This window comes from Homo sapiens, chromosome 17 (assembly GCF_000001405.40).
Source record: "Homo sapiens chromosome 17, GRCh38.p14 Primary Assembly".
In the NCBI taxonomy this organism is placed as follows: Eukaryota; Metazoa; Chordata; class Mammalia; order Primates; family Hominidae; genus Homo; species Homo sapiens.
In genome coordinates, this window is record NC_000017.11 from 67,218,084 (window position 1) to 67,237,798 (window position 19,715).

Sequence of the window (19,715 nt, forward strand, 5' to 3'; positions counted from 1 at the left end):
GCTACCACGCCTGGCTAATTTTTGTATTTTTAGTAGAGACAGGGTTTCACCATGTTGGTTAGGCCAACTCAAACTCCTGACCTCATGATCCACCTGGCTTGGCCTCCCAAAGTGCTGGGATTACAGGTATGAGCCACCACGCCCAGCCGGTGTTTATTTTTTATAATGCTTATTGTTTATTTTCTGTTCCCCTACTAGAAAAAGTATCATAAAGAAGAGACTTTTCTTTCTCTTTCATCAATATATATAACAAGAACCTAGAACAGTGTCTAGTACACAGTACATACTCAATAAATACTTGTTGAGTGAGTGCATAATCCAAAATGCCCTAAAGTAGAACAGTTTTCAAGGTTCAAAAACGTAGTTACCTTGCCATCAAATATATTCAGCAATCACCAGCCACTTCACTCACATCTCTTTGGCCCAGAATTAGCTATTTGTATCGTCACCCCTCAATGAAAAAGGCCATTTTACATAGTTCAGCATTGGCTTATTGACAGTGTTTACTCACCAGTTGCAAAAATGAGGCAATTCTGTAGAGAAGACTCTCGATTTTGATGCGTTCTATTTCCAATGGACAAGGCCCTGTGAAGTCTGCCATGGAGTACTGGCCAAGAGAAAGAAGGGCCTCTGTGCAGTGCTTGAGGGCCATTTCATAGTCCTGCCTCTTAAGTGATTCACATGCTTGTTCACATGACTTTTCAGCTCTTCTGTCTTCCATGACTCAGGGACAAAAATCCTACAGACAGGGAGAAAGAACAAGAGAAGGTTTTTTAAACTTATTAATTATAAATTCTAGCCCCATTCCTATCTCAGCTGGCTTAATTATCTATCTGAATACTCTCAGCTAGCCTTTTGATCAAGGTCACAGCTAAGCAGCAGCTATTGATGCTACAAAATCTATACTTCTCTTTGATATTTTATGAAGTCTTTACTAAGATTCAAGCAAAATGTCAATCATAAGCCAGGATCATACCAACAATATAACAAATTTATAAATGAGGCAAATTTAGAAATGAAACATGACTGTGAATACCGCAAAGTATACAACAAACCATAAAGGATCCCCTTTCTTAACCAAAGGGACAGAAACGTTTCATATCCAAATCTCCAAATTTCAGTTTCCTAATTTCAGTCTCACAGTTCTGTGACCATGATTGCAAAAAACCAAAATCTATACCATGCAGGATTATTTCCCACCAATTAAAAAACTGGTTGGAACTGTATGAACTGTCCATTAATTCAATTCAACAAACATTTCTCGAGGGCCAGGCCCTGTGCTAGCAGCAATGAATGCAAAGACAGGGCATGTCATCTCTGCTTTCAAGAAACTCAGATTCTAGCAAGACAGGCAAAGCACAAATGAACAATTACAAAAAAGACTTATTCCATCTGCCTAAAGGCATGAGCTGATTGCAAAAGGTGAACAGGAGTTCACCATACAGATGACAGGGAGAGCAAATGTGAGCTTTTCAGAGAGACGAGTTCAAGTGAAATCACCAAGGGGAGAAAATACACAGCCTAAACTCAAGGTACATCAGAGGAGTAAGAGAAGCTATGAATGACCTCAAATGCCACAACAAGAAGCAAGGGTTTTATTCCACAGGCAATGGAACACGATGAAATTTTTTAAATACGGAAGGAATCTATCAAACATAAGTCCTACCAGTTCTATAAAGAACTGGTTAGAAATAGAAGAAATCACAGCTTGCCACAGGGGAAGAAATGGCAAACATTGCCATTAGTAAGAGATCACTAAAATAGTCCAAGTAAGAAATAGCAGGAGTTTACACGTTGTTTCTCCCTAGCTATAACACTCATGGCAGGGGTGGAAAACTTGGACACAGAAGACCGACATCCTTTGACCTGACATTCACAATACTGCTCCAAAGAGTCACTCTTGCTGACCATCTCTGTCAAACTTACAGATTGCTTTCCGTGCCTGCATCCACCTTCTCTCTCTCCTGCTCCTCCCTACCTTCCACCTTAACCGCTGGCCTTACGGTACTTCTTTGTCCCTTCCGCCTGCCTCCAGCCTACATATATGTTCTCTGCCAGCCTTCTCGGCTTTTATAATGACACATGGGCCCTGCCCTCTCCTCGCTGTGCTGTAACCATCTGCTGCCAATAAACTGCAGTGCAAGATGAGGGGAGAAAAGTCATTGATGGGCAGCTCATAGAGAGCAGCAGGAGGCAAGATGACAGACATCTGAAGAGGTCTAAGCCCCTTCAGCTTTTGAGATTCTTGGTCTACCAAAACAGTAGAAATAGCTAGGGAATGAGATAAGGGAGAGTTCAAAAAGGACTTCAACAGTATTTGTCAGCATTTGTTCAATATTGGGGATTTACACATGTGGTACAATATAACATTCCCTACTTTTCTCAGTTTGGAATTTTTAATTTTAACACTTTTTTTTGAGACAGGGTCTCACTCTGTTACCTAGGCTCGAGTAGAGTGGCACAATCACTGCTCACTGCAGCCTCGACTTGCCAGGCTCAAGCAATCCTTCTAACTCAGCATCTTGAGTAGCTGGGACTACAGGCATGCACCACCATGTCCCGCTAAATCGTTATTTTATTTTATTTTTGTATTGACAGGGTCTCCCTATGTTGCCCAGCCTGGTATCAAAACTCCTGGGCTCAAGCTGTCCTCCCGCTTCAGCCAACCAAAGTGCTAGGATTACAGGTGTGAGCCACTGCACCAAGCCTAAACTAACACTTTTAATATAAAAAAAGAAGAAATTTAATTGTGTTATTAAGATAACTCCCCCCCCCCCAAAAAAAAAGAGTACTGTATTCTTGGTCTTTTACATGGTTTCCCTTTAAACTTCCTCAGCTTTCCTTCAGGGAGGCTGTAATTCCCAGTTTAGTTTAAGGGTAAGGGGATTTAAATAAGACACAGTTGGTATGCATGCCTGTTACACAAACATACATTGATGTGGGTGAAATCAATTGTTCAATAAAAGTCAAAAATAATTTCTGTATCACTACAGCAATGTTGCCCATTAGACAAAGAGTGGCATTACAAAATTACTAACTCATGATATAGTCCAGATATAAAATATCAACACTATTAACATTTTGGGCTCAATAATTTTTTGCTGTGGGCCATTCTGTGCATTGTAGGTTATTGAGCAGTCATTATCCCTAGTCCTCACCAGCAGATGTCAGTAGCACGTCCCCTGACTTGTGACAACCAAATATGTCTCCAGTAAATGTCTGGAGAAGGCAAAATCAGCTCTAGTTGAGAACTACTAATATAGACAAGCATACACTGCTTGCCAGATAACAGCAACACAAGATTCATAAAGTCCATGGATACCAGAGGCCCTAGAATTAGCAAATCTTCCCTACAGAACTCCCAGCCCACATCCAGACCAATAATACAAAAAGAAGTCGTAAGAAAACAAAGCTAATAATGCACCAGCTAAAATCTTTCTTAGGAATGAGTATAGCACAGTGATCCAGAGCACAGACTGGGAACCAGAATTCACCAGCTGCACCACTCTCCAGCTGCATAGCCTGGGGCAAGTGGCTTTACATGGATTATTTCAACTTGCTCACCTCTAAACTGGGAAGACAACTAATACCTACCTCCTAGGGTTACTGCAAGGATTAAGTGAAATAATACCTATAAAGTACTTAAAAGAATGCCTGGGACATAAGTGCTCAATAAGTGTTAGCTATTATAATGTCTCTAAAATTCCTTATTTTCACTTTATATAAAGTTTTTTGTTGTTGTTGTTGCTGTTTTTTGTGTTTTTTTTTTTTTTTTTAAGAGACAGAGTCTCGCTGCGCAGCCCATGCTGGGAGTGTAGTCGTGCAATCATAGCTCCTGCTGCCACACACTTGGGAATCATCCTCCTTCCTTGGCCTCCCAAAAAGCTGGGACTACAAGTGCATGCCACCACAACCGGCTAATTTTTTTTTTATTTTTTTGTAGAGACAGGGTTTCAATGTGTGGCCTAGCCTAGTCTTAAACTCTTGGCCTCAAAAGATCATCCCAACTTGGCCTCCCAAATGCTGGGATTACAGGCGTGAGCCACTGTACCCAGCCTACATAAAGCTGAAATCACTTTACTGATCTCAACATACAATACGGTATAGACAATGAAGTATTATTCTATGTAATTACTTTACCTACTTGACAGAGGATTTTCACCTATTTTCTCCATCTCAATACACTGGTAATGATTATCCAAAGAATAGCCATTGGAGAAAAAAGTATATCTGCAAGTCACTGACAAGGACTAGCTAAACCGTAAATCTGGCTATGAGGGATGATCACAAAGATTAATATCAACAATGATTCCCAAACATATTAGCCAGGGAGAGCTCGGTAACATTAATATGTAAGTAGAGATTAAGCGCAGAACTATGAATTTCAGGAGCTTTGAGAGGAAATGACTCAATTTACGACCCTTCCTCAGAAGTGGATATCTACCCCAATTACCTTTGTTAATCAGGGCCTGATGACTAGTTTCCAAGATCTACCTGAATCACAGTAGGGTCACTTAGCTGTAGTGTGGAACTCAATACAACGCATGCTCCGTTCAGCTGTTTTGTCGAGCTTTTCAGAAAACAGCATGACCTTACTGCACCCACTCCTTCTGAAGAAGCTAAAGTGGTTTATCAAGCATAAAAGCAAAACTGTCTGTCAAAGTCAAAATGAGAAAACATCTCAGGCCATGCTAAAATGGACTATGGATAATACGCAGTGAGAGATCTAGAAGTACTTCTAAATGAGGCCAGCTCCCAGATACACTTCAAGAGTGTAGCTGACACCCCTGCCTAGGACACATCGATACATCTGTATCTATTGTATGTGATCCTGCTACCTGAACGTAACAGCCAGATCCAAGGGCAGATACTGACTAAGTGAGGCCGGGCACGGTGGCTCACGCCTGTAATCCCAGCACTTTGGGAGGCCGAGGCGAGTGGATCATGAGGTCAGGAGATCGAGCCCATCCTGGCTAACACGGTGAAACCCCATCTCTACTAAAAATACAAAAAAAAAAAAAAAAAAATTAGCCTGGCATGGTTGCGGGCGCCTGTAGTCCCAGCTACTCGGGAGGCTGAGGAAGGAGAATGGCATGAACCCGGGAGGCAGAGCTTGCAGTGAGCCGAGATCGCGCCACTGCACTCCAGCCTGGGCAACAGAGCGAGATTCCGTCTCAAAAAAGAAAAAAAGAAGATACTAAGTTGGGTCTCTAAGGATTTTTCCCACAGGGACAGAGTGGCCCAGGGAATGGAAGTCGCTGGAGCTGAGTCACATTAAGCACATTAAGCACACCAATGTAGGAAGAAGCATCACATTCGCCCATTGCTGAGGTCCGCCCCATCTGTCTTGACTCTTTCTCTTCCTGTTAAAAATTATCCAAACTTGGCCGGGCGTGGTGGCTCACGCCTGTAATCCCAGCACTTTGGGAGGCTGAGGCGGACAGATCACCTGAGCTCAGGAGTTTGAGACCATCCTGGCTAACAAAGTGAAACCCCGTCTCTATTAAAAATACAAAAAATTAGCCGGATGTGGTAGCACATGCCTGTAGTCCCAGCTACTCGGGAGGCTGAGGCAGGAGAATCACTTGAACCCAGGAGGCGAAGGTTGCAGTGAGCTGAGATTGCGCCATTGCACTCCAGCCTGGGCGACAGAGCAAGACTCCCTCTCAAAGAAAAAAAAAATATCCAAACTTTTATCAAAGGAACATAAAACACTAATTTCCTTTAAACTCCTATCCCTGTGAGAAACACTGACTTGGAGGATGTGACTTCACAAGCAAGAAAGCTGAAATCAGAAACCAGGACTCTAATCCAAATCCACTAACTCCTCTGATCTGTTGCTGACCTATAAAAAGAGACTAATACCATGCAATGAACGTTAGTTGTTCTGCCACCAAATACCCATTCCCTTCCCTGGTAATAAAAGCCCACGATTTCCCTTCGAGAATTCACCTCTCCCCATCTCTCAGACCATGTGGTTCCTGAAGAGCTAACTCCACCAGGGATGTGGGGTGGCATGTGACACTAACTGGCCAATCCGAGCCTCACAGCCCTGAACACAGGGATTGGCTCAGGGTAGGCCATATGACCCTGTAAGAGCCAATGAGACACCATGAGACTCGCTGAGGCTTCTGGGAAAGAAACTGAAGCTCCTTGCAGCTGAATCTAAATTCTGAGAAACTACAGGGGGTTGAATATACCGCAGCCATTTTTCTTACAGTGTCAGCAACTGAAGTCTATACAGGAAAAGGCAGAGCTGATTCACAGGGAGAAACTAAGTCCTGATGACATCACCTGACCCCTGAATCCAGCTCTGGCTAGCTGTGCCTGGACTTCGAAGTTAGGTAAGCCAAGAAACTTTTTTCCAGCTTAAGTCAGTTTAGGTTGATATTTCAGGCAGTTGGAACCAAGACAGTCTTAATTTAGATAATCTGATCAGTACCAAATGAGCTGATAATTGTCTTGTAAAATAGTGTATACACGATTATTAATAACAATGATCATGTTATTTATTACTAATAACAGTAAGTGTAAAGAGAAAAAATAAGTGAGCATGGGAGACAAATGGCTTAGTGTGATATATGATTCTTCTGTGTCTTAAAAATATAAGCCTAGGTTTCCATGCCCATAGTGCTCATGCAAACATGGTGAACGTTGCTAAAACCCGCCGGACTTTCTGTAAGAAGTGTGGCAAGCACCAACCCCACAAAACGACACAGTACAAGGGCAAGGATTCTCTGTATGCCCAGGGAAAGCAGCGTTATGACATGAAACAGAGTGGCTATGGTGGGCAAACTAAGCCGATCTTCCGGAAGAAGGCTAAAACTACAAAGACGACTGTGCTAAGACTTGAGTGCGTTGAGCCCAAACAGATCTAAGAGAATGCTGGCTATTAAAAAGATGCAAGCATTTTGAACTGGAAGGAGATAAGAGAAAGGGTCAAGTGATCCAGTTCTATGTGTCATCTTTTATTATGAAGACAATAAAATCTTGAGTTTATGTTTAAAAAATTACATATATATATAAGCCCAAAGCATTTGTTTTAACAACTTATAAAGTTACTTCAGTAATAACAAGAAGCTTTTACTGAAGGTTCATCGTGTGCCAGATGTTTAAAAGATTATATGTACGTAATCTAATTTAATCCTCACAATGACCCTATAAAGTAGATATTAGAATTGTTATTATCATTCCCATTCACAGATGAGGAAACTGAAGCACAGAGTTAACTTATCCAGTTACACTGTAAACGACAGAGGCAGGATTCAAATCCAGGCAGCCCGACAACTCCTACTTTTACCACGACACTGATTCTGAGCCCACAAGCAACTAAGGTTCTAATGCTATTCCAACAGAGTAAAAACTCAAAGTCCAGCACTCCCAAAAGCACCAAATGTGACAGTGAAATATCACCTTTTAATTCTGAAACAGGGTTAACATAGTTCTGCATTATAAAAAGTATGTCTGTGTTAGTAACCGCAATGTTAGTGATTACCATTTTAAAAAATGTAAAACACACACACACCCCTAAGCCAATTATCTCCTTGGTTAAGCAAAAATCCTAAGTGTCCCAAGACAAAGGAGTGTATTAATTAGCACCATCTTTCCATAAAATGGTAACATTTGCATCCTTCCACAAAAGTCAACTTTCAGACAGTATCCCATCCCTAACTTACTTTTTGCCACTTTTATAAAACAGAAACTTGTTCTAAAATTGATTCATCTTAGCACAATCTGACAAAAGAGCAAAATCGATAAATTTTATCAAAATTAAACATTTTTGTACCATGAAAAAGACACTGTTAAAAGAATAAAAGACAAGTTAGAGACTGGGAGAAATTTTGTGCAAATCACTTATTTGAAAAAGGATTCAGATCTGAAATATAAAGAACTCCCTGACGGGCGTGGTGGCTCACACCTGTAATCCCAGCACTTTGGGAGGCTGAGGCGAGTGAATCACAAGGTCAAGCGATCAAGACCATCCTGGCCAACATGGTGAAACCCCATCTTTCCTAAAAATACAAAAATTATCTGGGTGTGGTGGCGTGCACCTGTAGTCCCAGCTACTCGGGAGGCTGAGGCAGGAGATCGCTTGAACACAGGAGGCGGAGGTTGCAGTGAGCCGAGATCGCACCACTGCACTCCAGCCTAGCAACAGGGTGAGACTCCATCTCAAAAAAAAAAAAAAGAAAAAAGGAAAAAAAAAAAGAACTCCCAACAGTCAACAATAAGAAAACTAACCAAATAAAAACTGAGCAACAGATTTCAACAGATACTCCCAAACAGGATATAATGATAACAAATAAGCACATAAAAGATGTTCAGTGTTATTAGCCATTAGGGAAATGCAAACTAAAGCCATGATTAGATTCCACTACATACCTATTAGAATGGCTAAATTAAAAATATTGATAACACCAAGGGATGTACAGTAACTGGAACCCTCATACATGGCTAGTAGGAATATAAAATGATTTAGCCACTCTGGAAAAAGGGTTTGCAGCTTCTTATAAAATCAAATACACACACTACACTATATGACCCAGCAATCCCCTTCGCCCCTCAGATACCACAGAGAAATGAAAACTATGTTCACACAAAGATCTGAACACAAATGTTCATAACAGTTCTATTCATAATTGCTAAAAGTGGAAACAACTCAAACGTCCTTTAATGAGTGAATAAACAGACCTCTTTGTGATATAAAACTACTCAGCAACAAAAAGGAACAAGTATTCAATATATGCAATAACTTGAATTAATCTCAAAAACATTATGCCACATAAAAGACCCCAGTCTCAAAAGCTGACATACTGTATGATTCCATTTATACAATCTTATTCTCAAAAATATAAAACTATAAAAATGAAGAACAAGATCAGTGGTTGTGAGCAGGTATGGGGTGGGTAGGGGTAACTATAAAAGAATAGCATGAGGGAGTTTTTAGGGTGATGACACTGCCCTGTATCCTGATTGTGGTGATGGCTGCACAAACTAGACATGTGTTAAATTAGTAAAACTGTATAGCAAAAAACATCAATTTTACTATATGCTAATTTTTATAAAATTGTAAGAATTATTTTTAAAATATGACCTAAATGTCACATTTGACTTTTTTTTTTTTTTTAAGATGGAGTCTCACTCTGTCGCCCAGGTTGGAGTGCAGTGGCGTGACCTCAGCTCACTGCAACCTCCACCTCCCAGGTTCAAGCAATTTTCCTGCCTCAGCCTCCCCAGTAGCTGGGACTACAGGCACACACCACCACACCCAGCTAATTTTTGTATTTTCAGTAGACGGTTTCGCCATGTTGGCCAGGATGATCTTGATCTCTTGACCTCATGATCTGCCCACCTCGGCCTCCCAAAGTGCTGGGATTACAGGTGTGAGCCACCACACCCAACCGACATGATTTTTTAAAACTACAAAGAAGAAAATGCAGCAGGATAAGTGTGCTGTGAATAAACAGAAAACCCATGCACTTCCCTTCCTGCATATGTAGGTTTTAGAGACAAGAATGGAGCCTCAAAAAGAACCTCTCCAAATGGAACAATGATTGAGCTCTCTTGGCAAAAAATGTAGAATACTTTTGAAGAATTGCATCATAGCTAGATGGTTGGTCCAGGACCAAAAGTAAATGCTGGAAGAAAAACAAAATCAATCTTTCCACTCTGAACCTCTGTCTGTGACAGTATGAGAAGAACCACCAGACCACCTTGAAATCAAGTCATGAAATATGCTTTTATTTTAAAAATCAGCTATATTCCTCAAATTAACTTCTCTTGTTAATGTAGTTATGGTCTTCTTTGATCTCAAAAGACCAAATCCTTTGTTAACAGAGAGACTTTAAGCAAAAGTAAACTGATCAAATAGCAAGAGGCCACAGTAGTAACTAAAATTTCTTCTATCTAAATTCAAGATGATTTCTGCATCTCTGTCTTATACATTTGCCTATTAGAAAAAAAATATGTATCTACCACATAATTAACTTAGGTGCAATGAATCAGACTGCATTTCTAAAGGTTTTAGAAGACTGATGAGTTATGTTAACCATAATCACTATCTCCTTTGATAGAAATTACTAACATCCGTAATTGGTTCTTAATCAGACCCCAAGATATCTTTACTTACTAGGCTATATAAACAATAAAACTTAAAGGACAAATATAATAAAATGCACGTTTCATTATATAACAAAACAAAAATTTGTATCAGAAGAATTGCTAGAAAAAATTGGATATCCACATTTTTTAAGTTAGTTATTTGCCATTAATTCTTCTAATTGCTTTCCTTGTGGAAATTCGGTTACTAACCTGAAACTAGAAAGTAAATACACTTTGGGAGGCCCAGGCCAGCAGATTGCTGAGCTTAGGAGTTCGAGACCAGCCAGGGCAACATGGCGAAACCCCGCCTCTACCAAAAATACAAAAAATTAGCTGGGAGTGGTGGCACAAGCCTGTAGTCCCAGCTACTTGGAAGCTGAGACATGAGAATTGCTTGAACCCGGGAGGCAGAGGTTGCAGTGAGCAGAGATCACCCCACTGAACTCCAGCCAGGATGACAGAGGAGACTTTGTCTCAAAAAAAAAAAAAATTTATTGTGACGAAAGAAAAGCCAAATTGATACATTATTATTATTATTATTATTATTATTAGAGACAGAGTTTCACTCTTGTTGCCCAGGCTGGAGTGCAATAACGCAATCTCGGCTCACTGCAACCTCCACCTCCCAGGTTCAAGAGATTCCCCTGCCCGAGCCTCCCAAGTAGCTGGTATTACAGGCATACGCCACCACACCAGGCTAATTTTGTATTTTTAGTGGAGTCAGGGTGTCTCTGTGTTGGTGAGGCTGGTCTCAAACTCCCAACCTCAGGTGATCCGCCCGCCTCGGCCACCCAAAGTGCTGGGATTACAGGCATGAGCCACTGCACCCAGCTGATACATAATTAAAGTAACCCAAGTGAAGAGGAAGAAAGCCTATCAGAATGTGCCCCTTTCCCCACTGAGCAGCAAGGCCCTGGTAAGCCAGTGTGGCTAAAGTGTATCATGCTTCCTGAGGGAGAAAAAGTATACTTTAGAGATGGCACAATAACTCTGAAATGCCTATAAAATAATGTCAAAGCTCATTAACAGATATCCGGGCCACCACCAATCTGGCTACAACCTCACTTGCCCATCACCCCAACACAGGCCCCAAGTACACAGTCAGGCCTCTGAGACTCTGATAACATTGTTCCCTCTGCCCAGAACATCCTTTCCTCGCCTCTCTCTGGACCTAAATCCTACCCAGATTTTAACGAATGCTTCAACATCTACTTCTCTAAGATGCTCTCCTCCCAAAACTAAAATAGCATTACTTCCTATAGAATTAATTGGCCTCTGAATCATCTATTATCTTGAGTTAAATGCATCGTGTAAAATGCCTTATCTGCCCAACACAACTATCTTATAAATTAGAATCCATTTTATACCATCTTTATCCCCATGACAACCATTCAATTCACTAAAACCATTCCATAAATAATTAAATTTCCCAAAGATGACCTAAATGCCAAGCATACCAAGAACTGTCCTGTACCAAATTCAGTTCTCATTAGCATGTCAAGTCACAAAGAGGCATGTTTTATTACCTTTTAGTTCATCTGCATTTTTCCAAAACTGGAATCTATATAGTCCTATAGTATACACAGGCAAAATAGTCTGCAAAGTAGTTTTACTCATTGTACTGTACTTAATATTCAGCCAGACTTGCATTTTTCTCTAAAACATAAAATCACTGAGTATGCAAGAAGCATTAGAAGAGAGACTAAGCCTACAGAGAAGAAAACTAGAAACTAAGATCATCAACCGTGGTCTCTTTTGAATAATCATTTTCATAAAGAGGTAAATTCTCTTAAATTTTAGAATAAGTGGAATTTAGTAGAGTATAGAATGTTTTAAATACATAAAAGAAATATCCTGATGGGCCTTCTGCCATCTGTTTTAATGACTGAGATAAACTGAATTTTCTAAAAATTATATCAACAGCTAAAATTGAGATTTTTTTTCCATCTATTACTTTGATTTTTCCTGATCCATTTTTCAGGGTTTCCAGCAATTCTGGAGCTAGCCTTCTTAGTTTCAAGAATTCCAAATTGTTTCTTGAAGAGTTTGAGCCTCTTCCCAAATCACTTAACATGCTTATTAATTTAAAAGATATGAAGAAACAAAAAACCCATACTTAAGAAGCAAGCAAGGCTGGGCACAGTGGCTCATGCCTGTAATCCCAGCACTTTGGGAGGCCGAGGCAGGCGGATCACGAGGTCAAGAGATGGAGACCATCCTGGCCAACATGGTGAAACCCTGTCTCTACTAAAAACACAAAAAATTAGCTGGGGTTGGTGGTGCATTCCTGTAATCCCAGCTACTTGGGAAGCTGAGGCAGGAGAATCGCTTGAACCTGGGAGGCAGAGGTTGCAGTGAGCTAAGATCGCGGCATTGTACTCCAGCCTGGTGGCAGAGTGAGACTCCATCTCAAAAAAAAAAAAAAAAAAGCAAGCAAATTATACTAAAAGGCTGACTTCTAGAAAAGGTTACTGCTTGCCAAGAAAATTATATTACTATAAAACATTGTCTATTCTTTTTGTTTCTTGATTTTTGCTTCCAGATTATCTGTGTAGACACAGAATCACATTACTACTACCACCAGTACTATCACAGCCCCTTAAAAGCCATCTTCAATTTACCAACAGATTATGTTCTAATGCTGTATTTTCAAATCAGACTTTAAAACTGAGAACAGAGTTTTCTATACAGTGTTAACAATAAGGTTACTGGGAAGATTTAAAGTGACAAAAGCAAGTTACAAAATAATATATATGGTATAATCCCATTTTGTAAGTAAAAAACAGATTATAAATAATGGTCATCTCATTTTTGTGAAATATGTAAGTATTGAATATTTTGCATAAGAAAATCAGGAAGGATAAGACACAGTCTAATCATGAAGAAAATACCAGAGAAACCCAAATTGAGGACCATTCTATTAAATATCCAAATAGTACTCCTGAAAACTGTCATGAAAAACAAAGTCTGAGAGGCTATCACAGCCCAAAAAAGACTAAGAAGACAAAACTGCTACATTCATTGCAGGATTCTGGATAGATTCTGGAACAGAAAAAGGGTATTAGTGGGAAAACTGGTGAAATCCAAATAAAGTCTAAAAATTAGTTAATAGAAATGTACCAACAATGGCTGGGTGTGGTGGCTCACGCATGTAATCCCAGCACTTTGGGAGGCCAAGCCAAGTGGATCACAAGGTCAGGAGATCGAGACCATCCTGGCTAACATGGTGAAACCCCATCTCTACTAAAAATGGAAACAATTAGCCAGGCGTGGTGGCAGGCGCCTGTAGTCCTAGCTACTCGGGAGGTTGAGGAAGGAGAATGGCGTGAACCCGGGAGGCGGAGCTTGCAGTGAGCCGAGATCATGCCACTGAACTCCACCCTGGGTGACAGAGCCAGACTCTGTCGGAAAAAAAAAAAAAAAAAGAAATGTACCAACAATGGTTTCTTACATTTGACAAACGTGCCGTGGAAACCTAAGACATTAACAATGGGGAAAACTGGGTAAAGAGTTTATGAGAACTCTGACCTATACTTCTTAATTTTCTGTAAATCTAAAATTATTACAAAATGAAAAGTTTATTACAGGCCAGGTGCGGTGGCTCACACCTGTAATCCTAGCACTTTGGGAGGCGGAGATGGGTGGATCACCTGAGATCAGGAGTTCAAGACCAGCCTGGCCGATATGGTGAAACCCTGTCTCTACTAAAAATACAAAACTTAACCAGGCGTGGTGGCAGGCGCCTGTAATCCCAGCTACTCAGGAGGCTGAGGCAGGAGAATTGCTTGAACTCGGGAGGGGGAAGTTGCAGTGAGCCAAGATCACACCATTGTACTCTAGCCTGGGACAAAGAGCAAGACTCCATCTCAAAAAAAAAAAAAAAAAAAAAAAGTTTACTACAAAAATAAAACTGGGTATCTCCAGGTGATGCTATTACAGCTTTTTTATTCATCTGTATTTTATAATTTTTTTTTTTCGAGATAGAGCCTCGCTCTGTCACCCAGGCTAGAGTGCAGTGGCACAATCTCAGCTCACTGCAACCTCCGCCTCCCAGGTTCAAGCGATTCTCCTTCCTCAACCTCCTGAGTAGCTGAGATTACAGGCACACACCACCATAACCGGCTATGCCCGGCTAATTTTTGTATTTTTAGTAGAGACGGGGTTTCACCATGTCGGCCAGGCCGGTCTCCAACTCTTGACCTCATGATCCGCCCGCCTCAGCCTCCCAAAATGTTGGGATTACAGGCGTGAGCCCCTGTGTCTGGCATTGTATTTTAAAATTTTTAACAAGCAATAAGTTTTCATTGTCATGGAAAACAAGACTTAGTCCCAGAAGACTTAAGTTAATTCGCCCAAAGACACAAAATTGCGGCAGCATAGGAATTCTGGAATTAATTCTCTTTACTCTAGACCCCATGCAGAGACCTAAGAACATACCCTATTAAACTTTTTGACTCTTCTTACTTGCTAATACACAAAATTTAAGGTCACCAGATTACTTTTGCTTCACTATAATTGATGCAGAGGGAGGAAACAGATGAAACAATACTGAGAGCTGTTGAAGTTGGACAATGGGTACATGGGCATTGATTACACTCTTCTTTCTACTTTTGTATGTCTGAAAATGTCCATAATAAAAAACTTTTAATTAAAAAATAACCAGCCTGGGCTTGGCGCAGTGGCTCACGCCTGTAATCCCAGCACTTTGGGAGGCCAAGGTAGGTGGATCACTTGAGTTCAGGAGTTCGAGATCAGACTGGCCAACTGAGTGAAACCCTGTCTCTACTACAAATACAAAAATTAGCTGGGCATGGTGGCACATGACTGTAATCCCAGCTACTGGGAAGGCTGAGGCAGGAGAATTGCTCGAACCTGGGAGGCAGAGGTTGCAGTGAGTCGAGATCGAGCCATTGCACTCCAGCTTAGGCGAAGAAGCGAGACTCCGTCTCAAAAAAATAAAATAAACATAACCAGCCTGGCCAACATGGTGAAACCCCATATCCACTAAAAACACAAAAATTAGCCGGGTGTGATGGCATGCCCCTGTGATCCCAGCTACTTGGGAAGCTGAGGTGGGAGAATCGCTTAAACCTGGGATGCGGAGGCTGCAGTGAGCTGAGATCGCACCACTGCACTCCAGGCTGGGTGACAGAGCAAGACCCTGTCTCAAAAAATTTAAAAATAAAATTAAAAGATAGAAAATAAAGTCCTCACTCCCCAACATAACTATGGCACTTCCTACTCTCTATTGAGCACTGCTGCCTGGGTGAGGAGACACCACCGCTAAGAACCTTCAGCATTTCTCAGTGTGAAGCAGAGAGAAAAGTCATGGACTGGGAATCTTGAAGCTTCCATGTTGGTTCTACTTTAACTAATTGTGAGACCTCACTGAGTCCTCTTAACTTTTCAGGGCCCTAAACTTCCTTAGCTGTTGCCCCAATAATCTCTGAAGTTCCTTCTAGGATTAAAATTCTGATTTCAACTTTCTACAAGCTCCTTAAACTCAACACAATCAAAACCAAATTCATCTTCATTCTAAACTCCTAAGAGCCATTCTCCCTCCTGACTTCCCTATTCTTTTTTTTCTTTAATGTCCCATTCTTCCAGCCACCCAACCATAAAAACCACAGCCTCATCTCTGACTTGAGACATAGAACTCAAGTTCTGTATACATAGAAACCCCCACCCCCGTCTCTACTAAAAATACAAAAATTAGCCAGGTGTGGTGTCGGGCACCTGTAATCCCAGCTACTCGGGAGGCTGAGGCACGAGAATCGCTTGAACCCGGGAGGCAGAGGTTGCAGTGAGCTGAGATAGCACCATGGCACTCCAGCCTGGGCGACAGACAGACTCCATCTCAAAAAAAAAAAAAAAAAGAGAGAGAGAGAGAGAACTTTGGGAGGCCAAGGTAGGTGGATGGCTTGAGCTCAGGAGTTCAAGACCAGCTGGGCAACGTGGGAGACCCCCATCTCTACAAAAAATACAAAAATTAGGTGGGCGTGGTAGCTTGTGCCTCTAATCCCAGCTACTAGGGAGGCTGAAGCAGGAAAATTGCTTGAACCTAGGAGGCAGAGGTTACAAAGAGCCGAGATGGAGCCACTGTACTCCAAAAAAAAAAAAAAAAGAAAGAAAAAAGAAAAAAAAAAACACAGAGATACAGAATTAATTGTTCCCACCCTACCCCATCTAATTAGTCACCACATCTCTCCATTCAACCTCCAAGATAACTCTTGAATCCTTTCCATGGCCACCAACTCAATTCAGGTTCTCATCGCCCTCACTTAGACTACTATGAACCCAACTAAAGGCCCTGTCTCTCAGTTCTCTTCCCTACAATCCATCATACTCATCCTTACTCTAACATTCAAGAAATTCCAAGGCCAAGCGTGGTGGCTCAGGCCTGTAATCCCAGCACTTTGGGAGGCCAAGTGCTTCAGGCCAGGAGTTCAAGACAGCCTGGGGAACATAGCAAGACCCCTAACTTTATAAAAAATAAAAATAACAAAAAGTTAAATATTAAAAAAAAAACTCCCCAAAACCCAGTCCTGACCTATTGGCAGTCTTACCTTCCATTATATTCCTTTATGTATCCTAGGACCCAGGAAACTTGGATATGCAATTTCCTGACACCCACATTTCTGACATAACCCCCAGACTTCCCTCCAGAATGCCCTCTTCCCTTTGCTTCTCGGCTTCCTGGTGGTGTGATTTAAATGCCACCTCTTCAGTGGAAGTGTTCCCTGATATCCCCAAGAAGGCAGTATCGCTCCCTCCACTTAATCCCGAAGTACCTTGTATGGCCCCCTTCAATGGCACCTATGAAATTCCTATTAGTCCTTTCATTTTGGGGTGCCCCATTCTCTCTACAGATAATTAGTTCCTTGTCAACGGAACAATGTTTCCTTCATGTTTGGATCCCTCAGAACAGAGCTTCTCAAAGGGTGTGCCATGGCACACTGGTATGCCCTGAATGAGTTAAAGATGGCCTAGACAGTGGTGGTCTTCTCAGCAATCCAAGCAGCCACAAAGAGACAACAGAAGGCCGGGCGCGGTGGCTCACACCTGTAATCCCAGCACTTTGGGAGGCCAAGGCGGGTGGATCACGAGGTCAGAAGTTCAAGACCAGCCTGAACAACATGGTGAAACCCCGTCTCTACTAAAAATACAAAAATTAGCAGGGCATGGTAGTGCGCACCTGTAATCCCAGATACTCAGGAGGCTGAGGCAGGAAAATCACTTGAACCAGGGAGGCGGAGGCTGCAGTGAGTCGAGATCGTGTCACTGTACTCCAGCCTGGGCAACAGAGCGAGACTCCCTCACAAAAAAAAAAAAAAGAGAGAGACAACAGAAGCCAGAACCCACAAATGGTCAAGCCTCAAGCAGTGTCCTGCTTCAACCCAGCACATGCCATCACAAGAACTTGAGAACCACTCAGAGGAGCAGTGATACAAAGGGGCTCACAGCAGATGCCCAATAAATACTTGCTGAACTGAATCCTGGAATAATCCATCTGTTCCCCTTCAAACACTCTTCCCAAGATCATTTACCATTTTGACCACACACTCTTTTTTTTTTTTTTTTTTTTTTTTGAGACGGAGTCTCCCTCTTTTGCCCAGGCTGTACGCAGTGGTGCTATCTCTATCTCGGCTCACTGCAAGCTCCACCTCCCGGGTTCACACCATTCTCCTGCCTCAGACTCCCGAGTAGCTGGGACTACAGGCACCTGCCACCACGCCCGGCTAATTTTTTGTATTTTTAGAAGAGACGGGGTTTCATCGTGTTAGCCAGGATGGTCTCGATCTCCTGACCTCCTGATCCGCCCGCCTTGGCCTCCCAAAGTGCTGGGATTACAGGCGTGAGCCACTGCACCCAGCCTCGACCACACACTCTTGTGAACAATTTTTACTGACCATATTATACCAGCCTTACCATTCAAAGCCTACAATAGTTAATTGCATAATATAGCAACTGATATCAACAAACAGTTCACCATAAAGAGGCTCAAATAGTTAAATTCAACATTATATAACAAAGAAATGAAAGTGCCATTTTACACTATTAAATTCACAAAAACTTCTGAAGAAAAATGGTTTTCTCTACTACTTATGGTAAAACAGGTATATCCATATATCTGTTAGGAGCACAAACTGGTATAACACCCTTGAAAACAGTAGGACAATATATGTGAGGAGCCATAAAAACACTGATACCCCTTAACATAATAACACACTCCAAAATTTATCCTTAAGATATCATTAGAAAAAATGCAACAGTATCTACAATGATGTAGATTAAAGTGTTAACTGAAAACCACCCAGACAGCAGTATAAATACTTCACATAAAAAGACTTAGGTAAATTGTAGCATGACTTGATGAAATTATTTTTGCAGCCTTTCAATATATAAAGTTAAATTATAAAATCTATAAGATGTAAATGTTTCATGATATAGTAAGTTTTTAAAAATCAAACTATAATGTATCATAATTTAAAATGAATTTTAAAATGTATATTTTGAAATGAAATGCCAAAAAGAAAATCAATTGTCTTAGGATAATAACCCAACATTTAACAATTTATTTATTATCAATTTATTCAACATTAAATAATAAAGTTCTACCCTACCAAGGAAATGAAGGGGTTCCAGGACACAAGCTTGATAAAGTCTCAAAAGGACCACCCCTCCCTTCTACTGCTCACTTTGGCCTTGACTGAGTGTTTTCATACTCTCCTTGGTCATGATGACCTATACTAACCCAAACCCCAGTTTTTCAAGGACCAGCCAACTGCCTCAATTGGTCCTCTGATCATCCCTATGAACCCGTGGGAGACAAATCATGCAAAACAAGCGAACACTCAAGAAACAAAGAACCTGGCCGGGCGTAGTGGTTCACGCCTGTAATCCCAGCACTTTGGGAGGCCAAGGCGGGTGGATCACCTGAGGTCAGGAATTCGAGACCAGTCTGACCAACATGGCAAAGTCCCAAGCTACTAGGGAGGCTGAGGCAAGAGAATCGCTTGAACCCAGGAGGCAGAGGTTGCAGTGAGCCGAGATCCCACCAGTGTACTCCAGCCTGGGCGACAGAGTGAGACTCTGTCTCGAAAAAAAACAATTTTTTTGATTTATTTATTAGTTTAACATTTATTACTTTAACAATTTACTTATTTATTACTTTAACCAATCAGCAAGTAGTCAGCCCAAGTTTCACTGTAAACCCTAAAAATATACAATATTGCCACATTAAAGTCTCTGGGATTCTCAAGGCTAACTTGCTGACTTAGCAGTGGACTGTATCAGTTAAAAGGCAGTGTGGACTCAGACAATCAAAGAACCAGGGGCCAGGAGACCTGAGAACAATTAAAAGCAAAATGTAGATAGATTTTTTTTTTAACTACAAAAAACACAAAGCTAAAAAGTCCAGCTTAAACCAGATGAGTAAAAAAATAGCTGGAGATATTCTTTTAAGTCTTAGCCAGAGTGCAAAAGGGAGGATGGAAAGTCATTTTATTAAGAGCTGAAGCTAGCCCGGCACAGTGGCTCACACCTGTAATCCCAGCTCTTTGGGAGGCCAAGGCGGGTGGATCACTTGAGGTCAGGAGTTCGAGACCAGCCTG

The 19,715-nt window shown here is 41.3% G+C and overlaps 1 protein-coding gene and 1 pseudogene across 8 annotated transcripts in view, besides 1 other annotated feature; one reads left to right on the forward strand and one right to left on the reverse strand.

Annotated features, from left to right (window-relative positions):
* The window catches only part of HELZ (helicase with zinc finger), a 175,546-nt gene that overhangs the window by 147,640 nt on the left and 8,191 nt on the right, over positions 1 to 19,715 (reverse strand). For all 8 annotated transcript variants that reach the window (XR_001752712.3, XM_047437225.1, XM_047437224.1 and 5 more), the window contains exon 4: positions 512 to 739. Coding sequence is in view for 7 of the 8 variants with exons in the window: in XM_047437225.1 (XP_047293181.1) it covers positions 512 to 721 (210 nt within the window). In the remaining variant the exon portion in view is untranslated. The remainder of the gene's footprint in view (positions 1 to 511; positions 740 to 19,715) is intronic.
* Positions 5,930 to 6,224: an enhancer, noted in NCBI's record as "tiled region #4721; HepG2 Activating DNase unmatched - State 17:Gen3', and K562 Activating DNase matched - State 5:Enh". NCBI's record gives its function as "activates a minimal TATA promoter and a strong SV40 promoter by Sharpr-MPRA in HepG2 and K562 cells {active_cell/tissue: HepG2 | K562}" and the evidence as "EXISTENCE:reporter gene assay evidence [ECO:0000049][PMID:27701403]".
* On the forward strand, positions 6,617 to 7,003 carry RPL36AP48 (ribosomal protein L36a pseudogene 48; annotated as a pseudogene).